The sequence below is a fragment of the Homo sapiens genome, chromosome 3, assembly GCF_000001405.40.
Source record: "Homo sapiens chromosome 3, GRCh38.p14 Primary Assembly".
NCBI lineage: Eukaryota > Metazoa > Chordata > Mammalia > Primates > Hominidae > Homo > Homo sapiens.
Genome location: NC_000003.12, coordinates 7,124,935 through 7,149,738, shown reverse-complemented (window position 1 = coordinate 7,149,738; position 24,804 = coordinate 7,124,935). Strand labels below are relative to the sequence as shown.

General features: G+C 36.2%; 1 protein-coding gene across 7 annotated transcripts in view; it reads right to left on the bottom strand.

Annotated features, from left to right (window-relative positions):
* Positions 1–24,804, bottom strand: part of GRM7 (glutamate metabotropic receptor 7) — an 880,419-nt gene that overhangs the window by 591,795 nt on the left and 263,820 nt on the right. For all 7 annotated transcript variants that reach the window (XR_001740135.3, NM_181874.3, NM_000844.4 and 4 more), the window contains exon 2: positions 3,071–3,287. Coding sequence is in view for 6 of the 7 variants with exons in the window: in NM_181874.3 (NP_870989.1) it covers positions 3,071–3,287 (217 nt within the window). In the remaining variant the exon portion in view is untranslated. The remainder of the gene's footprint in view (positions 1–3,070; positions 3,288–24,804) is intronic.

Genomic DNA, 24,804 nt, shown 5'->3' with positions numbered 1-24,804 from the left:
TATGAGGAAGTTTAGGCTTGAAAAGTTAAAGCATGTGTCAAAATTGTTAAAATAAGAGAGTGATGGAGTCCATCATTCAAATCCAGGTCTTTCTGACAGCATAACCAGTGTGCTTATTTATTTTTGTGCCATATCGCCTCACCTACCCATACACATTGGGTTTGTATCTTTTGTGAGGGTGACTTTTTCGAGCCTGCAGGTAAAGAAAAAAGTGAACACATAAAATTACCTTGGAGAATTCCCTAACCATGTATATGCCCAGAAATTCCAATAGATAAATTTTTCTTTTATTTTCTTATTGTTTTGGAATGAGAATATATGATTATTTCTTCAATTGAACATCAGAGGAAGGAGATGGATTCTTTTTAGAGGTCATGGGATGTGTGTCTTTAAATACCAGAATCACCTTTGCAGCAGCAAGATGCGCGCCTTATGAGAGGCCCACAGAAATAAAACTCACTGAATGAATTTCATGTTTTCTCTAGGCCATACCAAAACTGAGTAGACTTACTCCACACCATTTAAGCTAATAATCTTTCTTTCTTCCTTTCTTCTAATTGAAAAGAAGGGGTGTTTGCTAATCACATAAGTTCATGCAACTAAATCACTTGCACATGTGATATAGTTCCAATGCATTTTGTTATAAATACGTACCAGATACCATAATATGTATAAAAGAAGGATACTTATTAAATACTTATTATAAATACATGCCAAATACTATAATATGTATAAAAGAAGAATACTTATTAAATACTTATTATAAATACATGCCAAATACCATACTACTTATTATTAATACCTTGAAGAGGTATTAATTTTCAAGACATCACCTAAACATTCACTGTTTCCTTGCATTTCTGCAGCACCAGCTGGCTTTTTAGCTACTCCCGTCCTCAAGGGGAAAGGCTCTAGGATGGAAAGATTTCATCCAAAATGGCTGCCACTGACGGAATCCTTATTTTTTAGCTGGGGCTTTTCAATGTAGGATTGGCTAAAAATATGAGCTGGGGAGTTCAGATCATATTATAAGAGCATCTCCTTTTTGAAGAGTCATTATATATAATAGCAAACTCAGATATTAATGTTTTAAGTTTCCATCAAATGACACCAGGAATAAACAACCATGTGAAAGTCACCATTGACCTGTCTATAGAATATAGTTTTTTATAAAGACCCAGAGCAAACATTTATCTTGATCCCAAGGCAAGGAAAGCTGCACTTTACAGAATAATCAACATGATTTTGACCTCATGAACACTGTAAATCCTGTAACAGAATGGGCAGTGTTCTTCCTTTGCTTCATCCAGTTTAAAGTTCAGTGTTAAATTTGAGGCTCACTTTTAACAATGATATAGTGCAAACTGGCATCTGCCCTTTGTCTCTAAGCTTTATCTTACTATTTTACCCATATGTTCTTTTCATCTTATTTTATCTATTCAATTCTATCCTGAAATTTTTGATATGTTTCTAAGTCAGCCTCCAGCCTTAGTTTGATCAAGGCAGGATTCAGAAAAACAAAGAAAGAAAGAAAAACATAGTCATCAAAAATGATTAGATACCTCTTTGGGGATTTATGAAGTCAATAGTTAATGAGTCCTATAAATCACAGCCTGCCACAAGGCCAGAGTTAAGATTTCTTTCCTAATCAGAAAGTTTCTAACTGAATTGTAGCCTAAATTTTTCCTTTAGGAATGTAGCACCTGGGGCCATAGTAGAAAATGAGACAGACATGGTCTCCTATAGTCATGAAGATTAGATAGAAAAACAAACAAATAGGAAATTATACTAACCTGTGATAGGCGCTGTGGGAGAAGACACTAGAAGTTTAAGACCAAGCCAACAAAACAAAGGAAGTTTTTCCGAGTGTTGCATTTTAACCCAGAAATAGTGGTTAGAGCGAGACTTGACAATGATTAGAAGCTATTTAGTCAGCTTTGTTAAGTCAGAAGGAAGAGAATAAGAATCTCACAGATCTTCACAGATCTCCTGTGAAGTTTTGAAATTACAGCTAATGATGCAGTGAATTAAAAACATGAGATTTATAAACAAGTCCTAGTTTCTCTCTTCTAGCATCATCCGTATCCGGAAGCGCTTTATTTCTGAGTATATCTGTAGTCTGACCGTCAAATACTCAAAGCTGTATCTTCACAATTTATGACATCTTTCCTCATAACATGGAGCTCTCTTTCTATTGCTTTGCTTGTTTGTTTGCTTTTATGGTCAGTAAACTGTTCTGGTAAATAACACTTTAAATTGCATGAAATGCTTACAAACAACACTGAGCACCCATTTCAACATAAGAAGAGTGTGGGAATATCTAAGCATGCATATTGGTATGTATTTACCATATCCAATACATCCATATGGGGAAACCTGAATACTTATTGTCAGAATTTCTAAGTGTAAGAATTTTGTCTCATTTTTCAAAATCTGCCCACTGGAAGACAGCTGGCCAAACATTTGAACCCATTACTTCCAATCTGAGCTAAATAAACAAACGTAAGAGAATCCTCTCCAAGGGCTGCTGAAGAGAACTCTCTCAAAATAATCTCAAGTTTGAAAGACTGTTTGTCTAAATACATTCTACTGCCTGGATAATTTATTTAATTTTGTTTTGGCCAAGTCATTCAGAGGAATTCCAGGTATTCTTCAAATCAAAGTTGGCACAGTGATTGCATTCACGTAATTCTAAATTATTCTCTCCATTTTGGAGAGAGGCAGAGAGGAAGAGTCTTCATGGGGAGGTACATCCAGCCACATTTTCCCACGTTTTCATACACAGGCTAGAATCTATCCTATTACCCATTAGGCAGAAGTAAGATATTAACTTTAGTACATATTTTTTTTTCTTCATTTATTCTATTAGTACTCAAGGGATCTCAGTTTCACAACTTCAAAAATCTCTCCAAAAACAACAAAGTCATACAGATGAAGACATCACAGGTGTACTTCACAGGACTCTGGGAATGTAAGAGTCTGTAGTGTTTATTTAATGAAGTTTGAAGAGAACTCTACAAGCCACAGACGTTTGAAGAGAGCCAGCTTGATCAGAGCAATCTCATCCTACCTGCCTCTTTGGAAATCTGCGTGAAGGACTCCACACCTTTCTCTCCATAACTTCCTTCCGATGCGAGGGTAGACACATAATTCCAGCCTAGGGCCTTTACAATGTCTACCATGGCCTGGGCTTGGAAGGAATCGGGTGGCACCACGCGAGAGAAGAAGTCATAGCGCCGGTCATCACTTAGCTCGGGTGCCGTTGATGCATAACTAATCTGGGGGATCTGCAAAGACAAGAAAGCACCACGTGAGAGTGCACCGTCAGGATGTAAGAGACTCATTTATACTTATGACAGTTTACTTAAAATACAGGGTTTGAGCTGCAAAGGAGATACATGTTTTGCCAAACACCACCATGTAATTTTAGACCACCTAAATGCAACCATCTACTTCTTCGCAGCACAAAAGTATTGACTTCAGCGTCTTGCCTTTTTATTTCCTTGTCTTAGGAATAAGGGAAGGAGGTTAGCATGGGAATTCCAAGGTCAGGGTCATGGTTGTTTAGAAGAAAAAGATTTATGACCATTCTACCAAACATGGTGAATCATGCTTTACTACTTATAAACCAATAGAAATAAAAATACAACAACCTGGCTGGAGTGTATATAAAGATTGGTTTAGTTAGCACAGCTTGTGAATACTGGGTGGATATCATTAGCCATCTAACATCGATTGATTGTGGATAGTCTCCAAGGAAATAGCTAAGTAAGTCACAAGCATTATCTAATTTATTCTTCACAAGAACATTTTAAAGTAGCTCTGTAATACCCTTTGCCCCAGGGAAGAGAAATTCCCCACCCCCTTGGCATTTACTCTAGTGGTCTTTGCACATTGACAGGCTTTCCTCAAAATTTTCCAAATTCTCTTTTGGATTCTGGGAGAGAGCTGGCAGTACTGTCTGAGTGGAGGCCACAAGGGCCTCTGATTTCTATCTTTTCCCTTCAGGGAACCCTCTGACCTCTACCCCACATGGCATTCACCAAATGTCCTGAAGAGCTCTAGAACTTTTGCCTATAAGGATCATCTTAGGACTCCACAGGCCCCTTGAAAAAAAATCACATTATCTCCCTCATCTGCTGTAGTATTTATTTCTTAGCATCATTGGAAATTGGGCTATGTGAGTAGTCCTAACACATCTACTTTGCTAAATTAAATTATATACATGGAAAGAGCTGCAAAAAAATGTCTGCCTGGGATTTCAGGTAGCCTAAGGCCAGCCCTGAAGTAATCACAGATGAGAAATCTGGCTTAGTCCCTAACTTCAGAACTCCTATGCTAGTTACCTCTTCAAAGCACCGTAACATTTGTTCCCTTCTTTGTCTTGATTCTATCAAGCAATAGAAAATGAGTGATACAATTAATTTTCACGTAAGAATGATCAACTCTGACAAAATTCTGCTTACAAACTCTCCCAGGTCTTATCCCTGCTTTATCACAAAAGGTTTCTCGGGTGTCCAAAGGCCAGTTGATCTTTTCTCAGACCAAGCCCAAAAGTCCAGTGTAGCTCAAATATGGTAAAGCCACGCTCAAGTTGATTCCTCGAGCCCTGAAAACTCTACTCACTATTAACCCATTTATTTCCTTCCTTTGTAGTTTGCCTAAAGTATACCCATTTGCCATAGTTTAAGGCTAGTTATCGCCTCCGTAAAAATCATTTCTCCACCAACATTTCTAGGTCAGCATTAGAGTTAAGTCCTGTGGCCCTGAAATCAGACGACCCACCATTTTCCATGCAGCCTGTCCACGATGCACTTCTGCTCTATGACCATTGGAGGGCAGGCTTTCTGCCCCTGACTTAATTCAAAGCCAGTGTGAGAAAGCCTGCATGTCTCCTGATGGGTCCTTCTACCTGAGCAACTTGTCAATTATAGTGAGGTTTAATGCAAGTAAAATAGGATTTGGTATTGACAAGATGTAGGATCAGAGTCTGGCATTTCTGTTTGCTAGTGTTTAATTTGATGAAGCTATTTCACTTGAATGAGTTGGTTACATCACTAAGATCAAGTTCTGAGAAACAGGGAAAATGAATGTGCATTGCTTTGCACGATGCCTGGAACAGAGGAGTGCTTAATACATGGGAGTAATAATCATCGAAAATAAAGAATGGTATGTTTTTCCTTACTAAAGTTATCGATTCCCCACATTTGACTTTCAAGTCCTCTGCTGCACGTCATCACGAACATTCTCCACACTGTCCTATGGCAATAAAATGTTTTTACATATTCCTTTCATTACTGCTTTCAAAGTAATATGTACTGTTTATCCAACTCTTTATTTTGTACCAGTCATGTTCTAAAAGTTTTATATGCATTGCCTTATCTAATTGTCAGCAAATACTCTGAACCGGACTGTACAATATTACATTAGACTATATTATAGTATTATTAACTTGTTTTACAAGGGAGAAAATTGAGGCTTGGAAGAATATTACCTTGCCTCAGGTCACAAAGCTATAAACACTCACAAGTACGATGCTTTGCTGAATTATTACTAAAATATTTTTTAAATAAGCATTAAAAAGGAAGGCCAGTAGATTAATGGAATCCAGGCTGACTTCTGTTCACATCACTGACTACATAGCCACTAAAAGTTATTTTACTGGTCACTCTCAGACTGCTGTTCAAACACCTTATATAAGCGCCTCAGTAAAGCCCATACAAATATCTTTATAGAATGAGTTACCTACGTGTCGATTGTAGTTTGGAGATTATAAGTTTTAGGTAACAAAAATATCAACTGAATAAAGGCTTTGGACAGAAAAATAGAAGAGGGAGGAAAAGAGGGAGAAAGAGAGAGAGGCTTTCCCTCACAAGAAATGAAAAGGAAAGAAGCCAAACATGTCAATGCATTTCCATCAATTTCAACTTGTGGAAATGTAAAAGCTTCATGCTGTTGCGCAGATGCCTTTCCTGCCAAAATCCCTCTGTACCTTTGAAAGGGTGCTAATAAAGATACATCCAGCCCTCTCCTTGAATTTGCATTTATGTAGCTACTGTAAAACATCAGAATTGTGAAGTGCCCCAATGCAATGCATTTTCTACACCATGCCCCATATTTTAGTAATGAAAATCCTGAGGAAACAGATTTCTTTCCTCATTACTGTGCACCCTTTGAAAATGGTTACTATCTGTGGTCTATCCCTTCCGGTGTAAATAAGGAATATCTCCTGGCTTAAGACCCATATTTCTCTTTAGGATCATGTGTATACCCTCTATCCAATGGTACTTATTTTGACACTATGAATATAATGATGCAAGAATAAGGAATGAAAGACAAAAAGGATTTTATTCTGAGATAAAAATACGGCTTTATAAGGATATCCCTTGTAGCAATAGAGGTGAAGGACTGGAAGAATTTATGTAACCTGTGAAAAATGATGTTGCTTATTGTCCTGGCTATTATGCTTCATGTTTAGTTACTTGCTTTCAAGTTAATGTTAAAGCCTACATAGTTATTATTTTGCGTGCTACTACTGGTACCTACAACTGATCAAATGATAATTAGGCATCTTTAGCAATTAACTTCCATTTTCACTCAAATATCTAGATATACTTTCTCTTGCTGCTATTGGACCTTTTCTCTCTTGCCAGTCTTCTTTGGAAATGGAGACTTGATCTTTTGATAAAGGCAATTTAGTGTGATAACACTGCAGCTATATAAAAAGAGAGATTCCATCTCTTCTTAGGCCTTTTTTCTTGAACTTAGAAAACTAAAATATTTTTAATCTGTATCACAGGACCATATTGTCATCTTATTATTCTTTTCTCCTCATAAAAATTTGGCTATTGCACAGGAATGGTTTTGTTAATGAGTTTCAAATAGGATTTAAAAACATCTATAACCTATTTAAAATAAGTGTATGCGTTTTAATGAAAATTAACAACATATGCTATTTATAAAAATGTAGAGAAACAAACACAAGAAAACAGGTTAATTTTAATACCTTGATCCCTGTCAACATTTTGTTGTACCTTCTTATTGCCTTTGTGTGTATATTTGGTTATGCACAGATACTGATATGGTTAGGCTTTGTATCCCCACCCAAATTGCATCAAGAACTATAATCTACATAATCCCCGTAATTTCCACATCTCCAGAGACCAAGTGGAGGCAATTGGATCATGAGAGCAGTTTCCCTCACCCTCTTCTTGTGATAGTGATTGAGTTCTCACAAGACCTGATGATTTTATAAGGCGCTCTTCCTCCTTTGCTTGTCACTTCTTCCTGCCGCCTTGTGAAGAAGGTGCCCTGCTTCCCCTTCGCCTTCCACCATGATTGTAAGTTTCCTGAGGCCTCCCCAGCCATGCTGAACTGTGAGTCAATTATAGCTCTTTCCTTTATAAGTTACCCAGTCTCAAGCAGTTCTTTATAGCAGTGTGAAAGCAGACTACTACACATATATAGTTATTAATTATTGCTATGAGCTTATAAATATTATTTATTATTAAAATATGGGTCTTAGTCTCCCCTTCCCTTCCTTCCATCCTCCCTTCTTTTCTCTCTTTCTTTCTGGTTGCATAATATTCTGCTGTATGAATATTTGACCTAACCTAAGCCTAACATTCATTGTTAAATATTTAAACCTTTTCAAGTTTTCACTGTCATTATAAGTCAAAACAAAATCCTCAGAGCTAATGCAAGCCTTTATACATACTCATGAGTATTTCCTCACAATAATGTTTAAGTCGCTCTACCTCAAAGTAACAAAAATATTTGAGGTTTACATTTAAATCTTTCCCTACATGGAAATTACTTTGGACTTTTAAATACAAAAGAACAGTAATCTATACTTTTTTCCTTCCAAATGGTTAACTACTTGATTTAGCACCATTTATTAATTAATAATTCTTTAATGACAGAAAAGAACATCTTTTGTTCTATATTAAATTCTTAAACATCCTTAGGTCTTCAGGGTGTATCTTCTACTATTTGATTTTTTTTTTCAAGTCTTGGGCCAGTGTTTTACTATTTTAGCTGTTATGAGCTTAGAGTATTTTGAGGCTATCTTAGTTGTAGCATACTCCCTCTTCATAGCTGTCCTTTTAAACATGATCATGGATAATCACGTTTTTAATTTTCCTTATTAGCCTTAGGATAATTATTTTTAGGTTAACAATAAAATTCCATTAAGATTTTAATGAGAATCATAGTATAGCTATAAATAAATTTGGGTAGAATTTAAATATTTACAACATTTTATCTTCCCGCATGGGAAATTATCTACTTTTATCTATTTGGTTGTTCATTCTTGCTCTTCCTAAAATCTTATAATTGTCTCCATGTAAACCTTGCACATTCCTTAACTTTGTTTCTAAATAATTATTTTCATTGCATTATGTATGAGACAAAATATTCATTTTGTTATCTCTTTATTGCTGCCATATAGGAATCTATTAATTTCTGTAGATTTTCTTTTTGTCTTCTACCCTTGTTATAATTCTTTTTAGTTGTAATAGCTTTTAGTTTATTTTCTTGGGATTTCCATGTAAGCAAGTTATAATGATTCAGTTAGTTTTCTAATTACTTCAGCTAGAGTTTCCAGAAAAACAAGAGTGATAATAGGAAAAATTCCTTTCCCTTTTGTTATTTCTGAACAGTGAGCAATTAAAAACCAACTAGTATCATTCTAATTTCTTATCTTGAAACAAATATATAGTTAAATTAAGAAGCTTATCTTTAAATTTTTATTTTGTCAATATAAAGTCTTAGCTAGAACTTGTAGGACATTTCTTTAGATTTAGAAGGACACTTTTAGAATTGAAAGGGAACTCCTAGATCATATGGCCCAAAGTCTCCCTCTCTATATAAGTTTATGACTTGCTTCAAAAATACCGTGGGGACCCTTACACAGTCTCTGTGTCACCATCTACCACCACATTTCTTGAAAGCATTTTCTTTATATTTGCTATTGATATAGGATGCTCTTATTTTTACTTGAGACACAGAACCGTACTTCCTCAGGATATCCAGGTAAAGCTATTCTATGAACAATAACAAAATAATGATAATATTATAAATTATAATTTAGTGTCTTCCCATGTGTGAAACATCATGCTAAGAGCTGTAATACATTATTTTATTTTAATCCTCACAACAGCACATTAACACAATTTCTGTTTTTACAAATAAAGAACCTATGACACAGAGAGATCAAGAACCACTTTGAAGGTTACGTATAAGTAAGTGGCAAATCTGGAATTCACTTTAAGCACATCTCTAAATCCTTTACTCGTAAGCCCTGTGCTACAATTCCCCTTTAAGAAAACATCATTCTGGTTAGAATGGCTTACAATTCATTTTTTTCCCTTCCTTTATAACATGTTTTTCCTCCTGCATTGTGTGATCCTGGTTAAGCCTTTCTCTCCCCTTACTTGGAATACTCAACCACTTCATGTTTTTTCTGACATACTACCTACCTTTAGTCTTATAACTTCTCACTCTCTCTCATGAGAAAGATGAGACATCCAAAACCTTTTATCACCTATTCAAGGGGGACCTTCTCTACACATCCTCACCAATGCTTCTTATATTTTGTCTTTTTGATTATAGCCACCATAACAGATGTGGGGCAATATCACATTGTGGTCTTGATTTGCATTTCCTTGCTGTTGTGCACCTTTCCATGTACCTGTTGGCCATTTGTAGGTCTCCTTTGAAGAAATGTATATTCAGATCTTTTCCCCATTTTTTAATTGAGTTGTTTTCCTGATTTTGATTTGTGTGAATTCTTTGTATATTTTGGATATTATCTCCTTATCAGATACTGGTTTCCAAATATTTTCTTGTATTTAGGTGTCTCTTTACATCATTGATTGTTTTCTTTGCTATACAGAAACTTTTTAGTTTGATGAAGCCTCATTTATTTATTTTTGCTTTTGTAGCCTGAGCTTTCAGTGTGATGTTCAAAAAAATCATTGCCAAGGCCAATATCAAGGAGTTTTTCTTTTCTAAACCTCTGCTGACTCATCACCTATGAAAGTATCTTTATAATCAGCTGTATCGACATATCACTCTAAACTATACATTGATCTAGAATCCTGTTTGGAGAAGAAAATGTATTTATTTCCTTGAAGATAATTTATTATAAGGTATTCCATTCTTTCAGAGAAAAGATCTATGCATGAATTCACGCTCTCATATGTGCAATACATTTCCAAACATCCAAGGTGTCTCCTCTACAAAATCAAAATTTCCCCTAGGCATTTTTTAAATCAGTACTTTTTAGAATGCTACAGACCTTTTTGCTTCTCTAACTAAATAACTTTAAGCAGTAATTAAAACTAAGTTTTTCATTTTTATATTGATGCTTCAGATTAATTTACAAATTCTGAATGCTGTGTGTTGCTGTGTTATGCTAGATGTTGTGATCATTCTAATATCATTGTAGAACCAACTATTTCCAGCATCTTTGAGGTGTTCAGTACCGTAAAAAGAAAATATGACAAAACGTCCAAATCTCTGTGGTGTTCTTTCTTTCTCTCTTTACCAATTAAGAAAATCAAATACCTATAGCCTTTAATCCTTTAAGAGGTTCATATAGTATCTATATAGTATAATATATAGTATATTATATTATAGAGTATAATATAGTACATTATATAATATTATATAATGTACTATATATTATAAAGTAGGATATATACTATATATAGTAATATAGAAAAACTAAAAAAATATAGTAAAGGTGAAATTTTGGTCAAACTTAACAGTAGTAGTTAATTATCTATAATGTGCCTACACTTGTCATTGTATGCCTTTAATATCTTTTTGGGTCTTAATGAGCAGCTAAGTCTAAATGTGTACAAACAACAGAACACATCTTAGGAATCTATTCTGCACTTCCTGTGATTTCTTTCACTGAATTTAATAAATGTCTCCATTGCTTTTATAAATGAAGGCTTACCATATAGATATATGGTAACATATATTTACAGTTTACTAATAATGTAATGTATATCTAAATTAATTTTCCTTTTGCTGATTTAAAGAAATTGTGAAAAAAAACTAAACTTTATGCCAGTATTTTTCAATCTTTAGTCATTTGCAAATGTGTCTGTTTTTTTCCCACATGCTGTAACACATTAATGAACACGACAATATATTCATACTACCAAATCCATTATTTATTTAATATTTTAACTTCTCACTCTTCTTTGCTTAAATAAAGTACAAAGAACCTTCTTTTCATGTCTACCAGTATGCCTATAAAGTGATTATGTATTTATTTTAATGTGAAAGAGGAATATGTAACTATTAGTATTATTCATGGTATCTTTGATATACAAAAACATTTTCTTCTGATCTACTTTATCTATAGAAGATCTACCACATCTATAGCTTCTTAGCTCTCAGTGATAAAAAGGGTCTAACGTCTTGTTGATTGGGCATATTGTCACCTACAGTTTATGATTATATATTTGCATAACTGATCTTTAAACATTTTAATGCATCTAGGATCTACTTAATATATATTATCTGTTATGGGCTAGGACTTTGATTTTGTTTTTTGTTTTTGAGTAGATAGCCAAGTGAATAGCCAGTGTTTTAAGAACAAAAAATATTTACTGGCATGTCATTATCACTTTTATGCATTTTTATATAAAATTATATCTATAGAAACACAGGAATATTTTTACTTCTACCACTACATAGATATTATCTCATGCACTTGGATGTCTTACGAAATTCACTATTAATGTATAAAATATTTACATTTACATTTCTTAAAGAAGCTCAGTCTTCTCTGATGTGTTGTCTTCAAGTTACTATGTTATTTCTCAGTTTGAATGAACTGACAGTAATTTGACTTATTAGCTAAAATGGCATGTATTTATTTCTCCAGGAGTCTATATGGCATTCACACTCCTTCTTAATGACGTTCCAATGAAGAGAAGACATTATGTGGGTTTTTCTGGTCCTGAATTGCACCACTCCAAATATTGGGCCACCACCACCTGCATGTCCATAATCCTCTCTGCTTTTTCTGCCTTTCACAGTTAGATGCCAAACTAATTCCACTTCTCTATGTGGGTCTCCAACTAGCTGTGAAAGCATCTCTCTCCCCCAAGTTTTTTTCTCAACTCAAATCTTCTCAATCTCTCCAATTATTTCTCTCAAGGCACTAGTCAGGTGACACTGATGACAAGACAGAAAACTCATTTCAAGTAATCAAGGTTTGAGAGCAATTCTCATGCCTCAAAATTATCATATAAATTTTATGTTGAAGTCAACTTTCCTGGCCATTGTTAAAAATAAACAAGCAAACAGGGAATAAAAACAGCAATAAAAATCATACTCTTTCAAGTCATCAGATGTAATTTTTCCCAAATTCAGATCTTACTTTCAAGATAGAAAAAAAGTGCCCAATTCTCGGTTTCTAATTTTACCTTTAAAATATTTATGCAAATTTATGGTTCTAAGAATTCCTGTAACTCTAGGAGAAACAATGCTAGGGGAAAAAACAATTTCAAGAATAGTTAAAATGGACACATAAATAACATATCATATACAACCTATATATACCTTTGAGACATAAATATTCATATCTCATCAATAAAATGTATTGTGGTGGTTGAATTATTTTGGTTGACTGAAAGAATGATCAAAAGTTAAGTTATATCCAATAAACAGCACACATTAATCACTAAAAGGTGCTCAAGGCTCTGCCCTAACCTCTACAATGTTTGCCCCAGAAAGCACAGTGAATTTAGAGGAAGGTCAATTGATGGGTTCTTCTGGAACATGGTAGTTTTCTTTGGTAACAAGTGCCACAGTTCTAATTAAACAATTATCTGTATCATTATCTGTTTATTCTTCTCCCCATTCCTTGAGAGTATTTACCCTTATGGAAGAAAAAGACCTTGCTCATCATTGTTTCCCCATTGGATACCACTCTATTGGGAACAGCATAGGAACGGATCAGTATTCATTGAAGAAATGGGCATGCCAGGAAATGGATAAAATGGAATAAGCTAAGAGAACAGATTTCTTTGACCTGCTCCTCATCCACAAAGTTGGTGTGGCCAGAGACACTCACAGTATTTGGGAGTTTTTCTTGTCCTGGGTAGGTCTCTGATGGGCTGCTTTAGGCTCCAGGGCAAATACTTTTTCTCACCTTTTCTTTTCCTCGGCATACTTTTTTGGGGAATGTAGGAGAAAGAAAGCTATCATTTGGATGGAAGATCAAAGGTAAAGAGACCAAGGAAGTCATTTAGGAAGCTGCTCACTCTGTTTTTGTTTTTTTTTCTTAGGCCTTAGTTCCTGACAACCTAGGCAACATAAACTATGATGCCTCAGGATTCAAACTTTGCCAGACATAACTAGGATTTGTCATTTTAAAGAGGCAGTTTCTGCCCTGCCTTTTCCTTAACTCCTCTCCCCTCAGGAACCAGGCTGCCAGGCCCACATAGCAAATACAGTGTTTATGGTCTTGGGTCCTCATTTTACTTGATGTTAACATTACTACTGCCAAGTTAAAATAGAAAAAAAAAATGAATAAAAATAATATATTAAATCCAGAGAAAATAATTATATGTCATTTCTAATAAAAAAAGAAATATTATGCATGTATGACGCACTTTCACTTTCTAAATGTTGACAAGATTGAGTCAAGTTTAATTTTATCCCATAATTATTACATAGTAAACTGCTACTAGGCAGAAGGATCTCCTAGGCTTGGAAACATACTCCCTTAGGCATCATCTTACTGTCAATAATTGTCACTGAAGACTCAAGTACAGATGTCTTCTAGAAAACATTAATAGAAATGTTTAAAAATCCAAATTTCCACCACTGCTCCACTGCAAGCTTAGTTCTCATAAAAATAAATTTCTAAATATTTACATAAAGGAAATTATTTTATTTATTCAGAACACAATGAAAGTTCTGAAATTGTTTCCATGCATGTTAACTTCCTCCCTTTTTGTATTATTCCTCTGTATATTATATTTTTTTCTCTATATTACATTCTTTCTCAGTATATTTTTTTATATTATATTCTTCCTCTCTTTATTGTATTCTGCTTTGTATTATAAACACATTGCCTGTAGCAAGGACAGTCACCTGAGGAGTATCTTACTTTTTGGAAGGCGAATGTGGTTCATTTGTTCCTGGGGGATTTGCATATGTGGGCAGTACAAAACTGCAATACAGAAAGGCAAAACAAAATTCACTAATGCTAGTTCTAGAGGGTAGTTTCCACAAAACTTGTAAAAGGCGAATTTTTGAAAGTATCATGTGCAATTAAGATAATGCTTCAGTGTACCTGTTGAGATATTAATGAACTCCCAGTGGGGCATTATTAAGTTCACAGTTAGTAGTAATTTCACTCTTAGTTCTTATTAAGCTTTATTGATATGGATCACCCAAAAGGGAAAATCATTGAAGAACCATTTCGGGCTTATTCTTTGAAACATCACTCCCTTTGATTTATACTTATCTCCTTTCTAGATATCATCTCTGCTCACATAGGATGGTTGGGCAGGAATTCTAATTTGGGGGTAATTTAATTTTTATTAATTTATTCCAAACTACTGAGAGATAACTAATAATCTTGAATTAGCTTAAAATCTGGAGTTATACACAACTTTAAATTACTCATGATGGAAGTTATCATCAATTATTGCAACTCTTTTTTCCTTCACTTTTCATCTCTCTAATTACATAACACCAAACACCTTCAGCATTCTGTGAGTGGTTTGTAACCATTTTCTTGAAATCCAAGTAGTTTTGTGTGTGGATCGCAAGTTATATTTGTTATAGCATATGTTTAAAATAATGCTTATTGCTTTACTAAATCTTTATATGTAGTGGGTATTGTTATATGTGGTATTTTATATGTACATATAATCTCATGTATTTTTGCAACAACCTGTTATAGGTGGAAATATTATTGTCATACTCACTGTTTGTGCCCATCTAGCATATGTGTACCTTTCTCTTGGTTACAGTTCCCAGATTTGCCTGAGGAACCACCTTTTCTCATCCCTGAATTCCTGCGGTTTAGGGAGACATGGCTGTACTTCAGAATCCAGATGCTGGTCCAAGTTGACCAATCAGAACACAGGATCCTTTTAGCTTCAAGAGAAGTAATATGGCCTGATCCAGACCAATATGAACAAGGAATTGCAATATCAAGGTGTGGTCAGAATTTCTAGATGAAAGGAACTTTTTTTAAAATAAAATATCTGAGAGGAAACCATATAAGTCTATGGTTACTGATGATGATGATGATGATGATGATGATGACGATGATGATGATTTTGCCAGGCGACAGTGGGGAAACCTAGTTATCTTACACACCTCATATTTTGAAAATATTAGGCTCAGGAATAGAGATAGACTATCACTTAGAACTTGTCTCATCCCATTTTTTTATGGAACATGGAAAATAAGGAAGAAGCTGCAAATTTTGTCTTATGGTTAATAGCTGCAAAAATAGCAGTAACATGCAGTTCTCATCAAGCTAGACAAACTCCTCAGGACTGTTTCTCTACCCAGAAAAATGACGCTAATCTTACGATCCCAAGACACATCACAGGGTTAAGATGAAATACCTACAAAATGAAAGTTGCACATTCCATGCTAATATACATTGCTATTTTGTCTGGTGCTATTTGCTTAAATAGACATCTTAGTTATAAGTATGGGAGGGGTTGCATGTGTGTGTGTGTAGTATGTAACGAGGCTTTCTGAGATCATCTGTAGATTAGAGAAATACTTTTTTCCATATTCCCACAGCATTCAATGACATAATACAATGAAGGCCTTTCCATCCCAACGTGGTATCCCAGAAACCATCAGCATACACTTACCTAGAGTAACAGAGAAAAGCAAAGGAGAAATATAATTTTTATGACCTCTCCGCCTCCTTCCTAATCTTAATTGTCTATGAACTCTTGCCGGTCAGTAACCTAGGATTAATCCCTATAGACAACCATATATTAGGAGACAAAAACTAAACAGAGTAAGATTTTTATTAATCCTTTTTATATTGATTAAATATGATCCTAGACTTCTTCCAGGCCTCAAGAGCCAGCATCTCATACATAGAAGTTTGGCTTACCAAACACTAAAGGTTGACTTTTGAGGTATTTTGCTAGCAATATAAATGTCAAATCTCTGTAGAGCAGGATTTCTCAAACTTGGTGATGTTGACATTTGGGCTAGGTAATGCTTTGTTGTGGGGGCCACAGGAGCCATCCAGGGCAATGTAGGCTCTGTGGCAGTACCCTGGCCTAGATGCCAGTAGCATATTCCCCAGTTGTCAAAACCAAATAGTTCTCCCAGCAATGCAAATTATCACCTCATGTGTGCGTGGTATTGGGGGTGGAGGAACATTGTCACAGTTGGGGACTACTGGGCCGGAGGTCTGTCTGTGCAAAAGGGGAATCTCAACCATCACTCTGTAGTCACAAAATGAAAATAAAAGAAAAAGCTATTTTTAACATTTCATATTCTCTCTCTGCTTTTCACATTTTGCTTTCTACTTGCCAAACTTTCCCCATTATCAGAGCTCCTTGTGTTTCCTAGCCACCTTCAATCATCTCGTGTCTCAGTAGAATGCACAATGACAACACAGCTGCAGTGCTGAGTCCGTTACATGGACACAGCCAGGAACTTCTTAAAGTGAAAAGATACTTTTCCAGGACAGAATGAAATTAAATCCACATGATTTTTTGAGAACCATCACCACTTGTATAAGTATGTTCTAGTAAAAAAAAAATCGATTATTCAGAAGGGTTGAAAATGGAGTGTTATGGTTTATTGAATAGTCAAGTAAACTACATGGTATGCTGTATGGCAATTCCAGTTTTCAACAAGTTAGTGAACAATAAAGTGCACTTAACAGAAATGCTATGGAACATGGTGAAATCTTCACTTAATGATTCCGAAGCCACTTTCAGCGTCAAGCAAGCCTTGGGCACATTCTCATTGTAAAAGACCACAGATGTAGATGTTTCAGAAGGTGAAATTAAATCTGTGTTGATCCTTTGATTTCCTGAAAGAGGCTTACTTGACAAAAAATTTTTATTTAGTTCTTTTATTCTTATAAAAGGAGGTAAGCTATGCTTTCTTTCTTTTTTCAACCTTTGATATGCCTCATAGTCTAAGAAAATGAGCATTTAGCGTTTCCTACTACCAAAAAAAGATTTATACGATTTCTGCATGGTAAATAATTCCTTACCATTTAATTCAGATAATACAATACCCCATCAGTAGCATATGACTTTTTTTCTTTTTAAAATTTGTATATTTGAGGCACTGCAGATATAGTAATTAATGAGGTAGGCCAGCTCTACGTATGCTTGTGGGTACCCAGGAATTATTTAAATAATGAATACATAACTCCATGAGCGTATTTATGTTTTGTTACATACCAAGTAAGGAATATAATATGTAGCTTGTACAAAGCATATTTGACCCATAATCCCTTCCCCCCAGAATGTGTATTTTAATTTTATATGGTTATTGTTTCTCAGTAACCATATTGTTGGGGGGGCACCAGTCTACATAAAACACTAAAAGGTCACTGAAGAAAGAACAACTCTTTAAAACTGGAAGTTTAGGAAACGTATGAGCAAGAGGTGTTGTTTAAGCTAATTGGGAGAGAGGAGGCAGATTTCCTTTAGCAAAAGAGCAAATGAAAGCCTTTCCCAATGAAGAGAAATGGTAAAAGCAAATTCAAAAAGTAATGAAGTAGGTGTCCTTTGAAGAAATGAGAGACACTTTCCTAGCTTGAGGGTAGAGTCCATTGTCCCACCTGATTTACAGCTGGAGAAAATGATGTGGCAAGGTGATAAAATAAACAAAATTGATCCCCGTCTAAATTTACTTTGTTTCTTCTCCTATTACAATAATTACTTTTCTGGACTAATAAAATACACAGAATAGCCTGGGTGCGGTGGCTCACGCCTGTAATCCCAGCATCCCAGCATGTTGGGAGGCCGAGACGGGTGGATCACGAGGTCAAGAGATCGAGTCCATCCTGGCCAACATGGTGAAACCCCATCTCTACTAAAAATACAAAAATTAACTGGGCATGGTGGCGTGCACCTGTAGTCCCCGCTACTCAGGAGGCCGAGGCAGGAGAATCACTTCAACATGAGAGGCAGAGGTTTCAGTGAGCCGAGATCGTGCCACTGAACTCCAACCTGGCAACAGAGTGAGACTCTAACTCAAAAATAAAAAATAAAATAAAATATACAGGATATTTATAACATATGTTACTGCACTCTTAGAAGGATAGATAAGAGATGCACAGACACCTCAACAGCTACTGAGACCCAAATACCTCTAACAGAATATCTAAGGGGCCCTTCCATGAGGATACCGGCATCACTCCCCAAGGATTCAAGTAGACGAAGTGTCATTGATTGTTTAACGAGGGCCCTGTGACAAAAGGTTTTCATGGTTCCATTTGACATTTGAAGCAGGTCACTCCCTGCTGTTAGAGGGAGTAAGAACTTTACTCACTTTGGTAATAAGAATCACTTCTGCCTACAGATCACAGATCTTGGTGGAAGAAGCAAAGCTGAGCATTTGCCTATTTTTTTTGTCAGTCCTTCCTAGCTCCTGGATGAATATATGAGAATAGAAAAGGGAAAATAAATAATAAAGCTTTTGGAAGGGAAAGTCTTAGCGTTAAATTCACAATGCTAGTGAAGTTTATTCAGGACTAATAAATCCTGATATAATTCCTTGCGCACGTGTGTGCGTGTGTGTGTGTGTGTGTGTGAGTGAGTGAAGAAATACCTCCTGTAAAATTTCCAAGGTATTTTCAGGCTGGAGTAGCCTGGTAGGTTCCCTTCATTGCACACTGTTGGAAATATTGATTTGTTCTAGAATCTAACATTTTCAATATTCCTTCCTACATCCAGAAACTGACTTTTGCTATCACATCACCTGCCACCATATCATCTTCCAATTACCATGACTGAAACTTTTTTGCATGTAATTGCATTTTAGGTTGACTGCTTCCTGGGGAGATTGAGGGAGAGAGAGAGAAGGTCATCAGTGCCAACACCACTAGCTGTATTTTAACAAGTTTGCTTCAGGGAAGATTTTGAGATAGAGCTACTAATCCTCTCCATGGGCCATTAATCCTTTTTTTTTTTCTTTTCTTTTTTTTTTTGAGACAAGAATCTCGCACTGTCACTGGGGTTGTAGTGCAATGGTGCGATCTCGGCTCCCTGCAACCTCCACCTCCCGGGTTTACATGACTCTCCTGCCTCAGCCTCTCAAGTACCTGGGATTACAGGTGCCTGCCACCACACCTGGCTAATTTTCTGTATTTTTAGTAGAGACAGGGTTTCACTATGTTGGCCAGACTGGTCTCAAACTCCTAACTTCGTGATTCGCCCACCTCGGTCTCCCAAAGTGCTGGCATTACAGGTGTGAGCCACCAGGCCCATCCCATAAGCCATGAATTCTTATTAAAGGTAAATCTCGACTGGACTTGGGAATTGTGTTCTCTTCCTGATCATAGCCTTTAGACTCAAGGTTATAAGGGACGTTTTAGTCAGGACAAGGTATCTCAACAGGTCAAAGATGGAATGTTAGTGCTAACCGAGTCAGATCTCTACTTTTATGGAAGAAAACAATGCTCAGAGAGGAAAAGTTATTTACCAAAAGCCACATGGCCATAGAGTTAATGAGAAACAATTCGAATCACATCTCTTGACTAGGTCGTGTAGTGATGTTTCCAAAAATCTATACTGCTCTGCTAAAGTGTTTAGTCCCTCTGTATATGTGATTTCAAAATTTTAAAGACTCATTTTGATGATTAAGCAATACCAATTATTTACCGGTTTGCTTGCAAAAATAGAAAATAAAAATAACAATTGCTTGAAAATATGTTTTTGTCTTTCTCACATAGTAAGTTGACAGGTAAAGAATTCAGAGCTGGTATGGAAGTTTCAGTCACCAAGGACCCAGGCTACTTCTGCAGCGCTGTCCTAGAATGTCAATTCCATTCTCAGTGTTGTTCATAGTTTCAGATGTCTGCTGAAGCTCCAGCACTCATGAACTCATCTCTCAAGCAGTAAGAAAGGGGATATGGAAAAAGACAAATGGGCAGTTGTTTTTGTTGGGTGAAGTCTTTCCATGTTACCTTCCCAGCTTGGCATACAACACTTGCACCTATATACCATTGTCCAAAATATTCTCATGAATCACACGTAGTTGCAAGAACTGATTTTTTAAAAATGTAATTTTTTAGCCAGTATATTGTCACCTCGAATCAAGCTTAGTTCTTCGACTAAGAAAGACTAAGGAATATAGAAGGAATGGACATTATCTGCCACAATCATGGACGGATAAGTGTTGATCATGTGCAGCTTTAGGCTAGAGAACTTGTAAACGGATAACGGCTGATCATTTATGTGTGGCTAAATCAATTTTTGAAGTATTTGTGTAGAAGGCAAAGAAGACAAAGTAAGTAGGCAATAATTCTCTAGTAGGATATCAATTGTTTGTTGATCACAGGTAGCAAATGATGTCAAAAATACAATTCCATTAGGGTCACCTACAATGACCCCAAATAGTGCTTCTGTTTCCATGAAAGCATCCCAGCTACTAAATTGGTGCACTCCTAACAGTACTGTCTTTATAACATACCAACTCTGCTATGAACATCCGTGAATGTGCACTAAACACGTTCAACTTTCTCCTACCAAAGACTCTCTTGAATTTTAACATGAGCAAGTTTAAGAATCTTTCAGAAAGCAACATTTTCTCCCAACTTCAGCTTAAAAGCAACTTTATGATAGTTTATTGAGGTTCCTGTGCTCTTTTCTGCCATAATGTTTCTCCATGGATTGGAAAGATAGCTCCCTTAACCTGCTCCAGTTTGGGCAATTAAGAAGTCTGGGTCAGGTGTGGTGGCTTACGCCTGCAATCCTAGCACTTTGGGAAGCGAAGGTGGGTGGATCACCTAAAATCAGGAGTTCAAGACCATCCTGGCCAACATGGCAAAACCCCATCTGTACTAAAATATGAAAAAATTAGCTGGGCGTGGTGGTGGGTACCTGTAATCCCAGCTACTTGAGAGGCTGAGGCAAGAGAATCGCTGAACCTGGGAGGCGGAGGTTGCAGTGAACACAGATCGCGCCACTGCACTCCAGCCTAGGTGACACAGCAAGACTCCATCTCAAAAAAAAAAAAAAAAACAAGGAAGTCTGATTTTTAAAATTTTTCTGTTACTAAGGGCAGAAAAGTACCTAGAGCTGTAAAACATAATCTCAAATAAGAACCCATGAGATTCTAGATGTCATCATGATCAGACCTTTCATCGTGAGGCAATGAATTAAGGGTATTAGGTGTCTGGTTTTCAGCAGTCAAACTTGAGTCATGTTTATATTCATGCATAGAAAATGAATAGGAAGAATAAAAATATAACTTCCCAGCTAAAATATCAAGCAAAATGATGAGATGCATTTTATTTTTTACAATGAATGGCTACACTCTGAAAAACAAGTGTAGGAATCAAATTTTAAATGGACTCTGGAAGATCAATACTTTATATCCACCAGTTTTTTAAAGTAAAGGGACCCACATAAATATTATTATAAGTATTATATATATTATGAGTAATCTATAATACATATATATTTAATTTTGAACTCTTCTAGTCTTTTACTGGCCATCTTTTACCTTTATCTCTCTAAAATTATAGTGTGTGTTTCCTACTCGAAATAATTCTATTTCCCCAGGCTGGCACTATTATGCCACAGAAAAGGTCTACTTTTCATTCTGATCTTAATCTATTACCAAAAGCAAGTCATTAAGCATATTAAAAAGCTTTGACTTCACATCTCACAGATAAGTCTCTTAAAATTTTCCAAATTTGAAAATCGATCATTGGGGTTAGGCTAACAGTATTGGAAGTAAAACAAACAAAAAAAGGCAAAATATCCCAAACCAGTTTCTTTTAGATTTGAAACCAATGCATTTGTACATGTCTCATTTATGGGTGTGTAGCATATACATAAAATTTACAATTATACTCCACACATTACTAACTACAAAAATATTATATATGTTATGTATAACTTTTAAAATGCACCTTCCCAGTTAGTATTAAGAGAAAAAATAAAACCAAAATGTTTATATATCCTAAGGATTATCCTAACTAGAAGCTTTGCTAAAGAATACTAACAGGGAGTAGAAAGCAGCTGCTTTGAATTTAGCAGATATTGCTAAACAGAAAAGTGGATGCTGAATTATTAACTCAAATTTATATAAGATACTGTCATTCAGGTTATTAGGGTTAGATGCTATCAATTATTTTCTTTGTAGTGGTGGGGAATCTATCCCCATTAACTCATCCGATCTTTTCTCTGCCCAGTCTGTTTCCTGAACACTTCATTGGAATCATCTTGCGGAAGATGTTAGAAATCAAAGAGAAGTAATCTCTCTTCTCTAGGTGTTTAGGGGAGAGAAAGGTGTGACGCTGTCAATATGGAGTAAATGTGGTTGCTGTCTAGAACTGTGAATGGAAGACTGTCTCTCCACATATATCCTTCCACCTTTCTGGAAGAAGAGTGTCAGATAATTTTTTACAACTGACATTACTTTTTAGTAGAATGAGCTGTTTTTAAGAAAGGCATCATTCCAGTTTGGGGATGTTTTCAGCTACTAGTCAAGAGCTCATGATTCTGGCCACTGGCCACCTTTGCATAATTTCCATAAAGTAGAACATTTAAATAATTGAAATTTACTCAACTTTTTAAAATAGATTTGTGTGCACCTTGTTCTCAATATCTCAGGGACATAGTGTCCAAATGATTTCTTAACAAATTTAGATCATTGGCTATGAGAAAGAATGGAGAAACATCACAGCAGTGAGCCAGGGAGATAGAGATATATGATGGGCCATGAAGAGATTAACAAAGTGAAAGAGGTAGAAGGAAAAGAGACTAAAGAAAAGGAAGGAGAAGCAGAGAGGAGGGGGCAACCTAAATGGTTTCTCACGACAACAACACATTTATCTTGAGATATTTAACTTTTTGTTAAAAAGAACACTTAAAATTCCCCATAATATGAGTGGTAGTAGCTAACTCAGTCCTTTCCCTCACCCCACATAGCCCAGGAAATAGTAAAAGCTCATACATCAAACAACAAAATGAGAAGCAAAATGCCTAGGCATTTCCAAGCATTATCAGTCATTCAACCACCGGTTCATACTCCCATGGAAGTTGACAAACCTTCGGGGTTTCATATGTCATATGTGACTAGGGTTTATTGAAGCATGCTTTCTGGAGCACGGCAATTAACACATTAGGGGGGATTTTCAATGTACTGCTCTATGCCTGAGTGCCACACATTTGACCTCTGTTGATCTACTTACAAGTCAGTGTTTCTGTGCAGAGTTATGGTAATAGATGGCATTTTCAGAAAAGTAATTTCAAATTTTAACAAAGTACCAGAGCAGCAGCCTATTTTGGGATAGAAATCACTGGCCTATTATTATTCAAGTTCACTTAAGGCCCTAGGCAGTTTGAACCACCTGAATAACCTTCCCAAATAGCCCATCTTTACAACCCACCAGGAACTTTGAGCTATTTCCAGTGTGATTTTCCCTGGCTCCCAGGCTGTCCTGATCCTGTTTGCTTTGCAGCAAGTAAAAAAGATTCTGATTTTCTATTCTTCTGTTTCCTGACACGGCAGAGAACAAATTATAATTAGGAAACCACCTGAGGGGAAGGTGACAATTCAGTTGTCAATTTTCACGGATAAATCCCATTTCTATCAACAGAAGCAAAGCAAGCCTCTCACCCTCAAAATAGACACTCAGGAGATGGTGTAGTTAGCTGGTTCACTGCCCTGAGAAGAAAAGCAGTTGCAAAGATGACAGCAACTACATCAGAAAATGTGAACAAAAAAGACAGCCCTCTCACTGTAAATATTTTTACTGCCAACAAGTCTCTAATATGGGTATAGAGTGATGTGAAACAGTCATTTTGCAAAATATCCCTTCTAAAGCTGATGAAAAGCTGTCACGTCACAATATGGAATGTAGCCCAACAGGGTACCCAGAGATAAATAAATGTAAGTGTTCAAAAGGTAGAAAATAAATAAATGTGCAGCTTGTTGTGAGAACGGATTAACTCAGAATGAATTAAGAAGACATCATAACCTTATCTTTAGTCATCTGGATGGCAAGCTCTAAAAATTTGTTATGCAAAGGGATTTTTTTAAATCTCAGATTATTTTTTCCCCAAACAAGCAATCTTGATCTTATGCATACTCTATGAAAGACATATGAGGGGAGTGGGATGAAACCAGAAATAAGGAAAATGTTCTAAGTTTTGTTTTTGAGACTCTTCTTGCTATGTTTCCCAAACTGGCCTCCATCTCTTAGGCTTAGGTGATCCTCCTGCCTCAGTCTATTGAGTGACTGGGATTAGCCTCCCTGTGCAGCTAATAAAAAACTATTAGGCCGGGCATGGTGGCTCACGCCTGTAATCCCAGCACTTAGGAGGCCAAGAGAGGCGGAACACTTGAGGTCAGGAGTTTGAGACCAGCCTGGCCAACAAGGCGAAACCCCATATCTACTAAAAATACAAAACTTAGGTGGGCATGGTGGTGGGTGCCTGTAGTCCCAGCTACTCAGGAGACTGAGGCAGGAGAATCACTTGAACCCAGGTGGCGGAGGTTGCAGTGAGCTGAGACCCGCGCCACTGCACTCCAGCCTGGGCGACAGAGTGAGACTCTGCCTCAAAAAGAAAAGAAACTATTAAT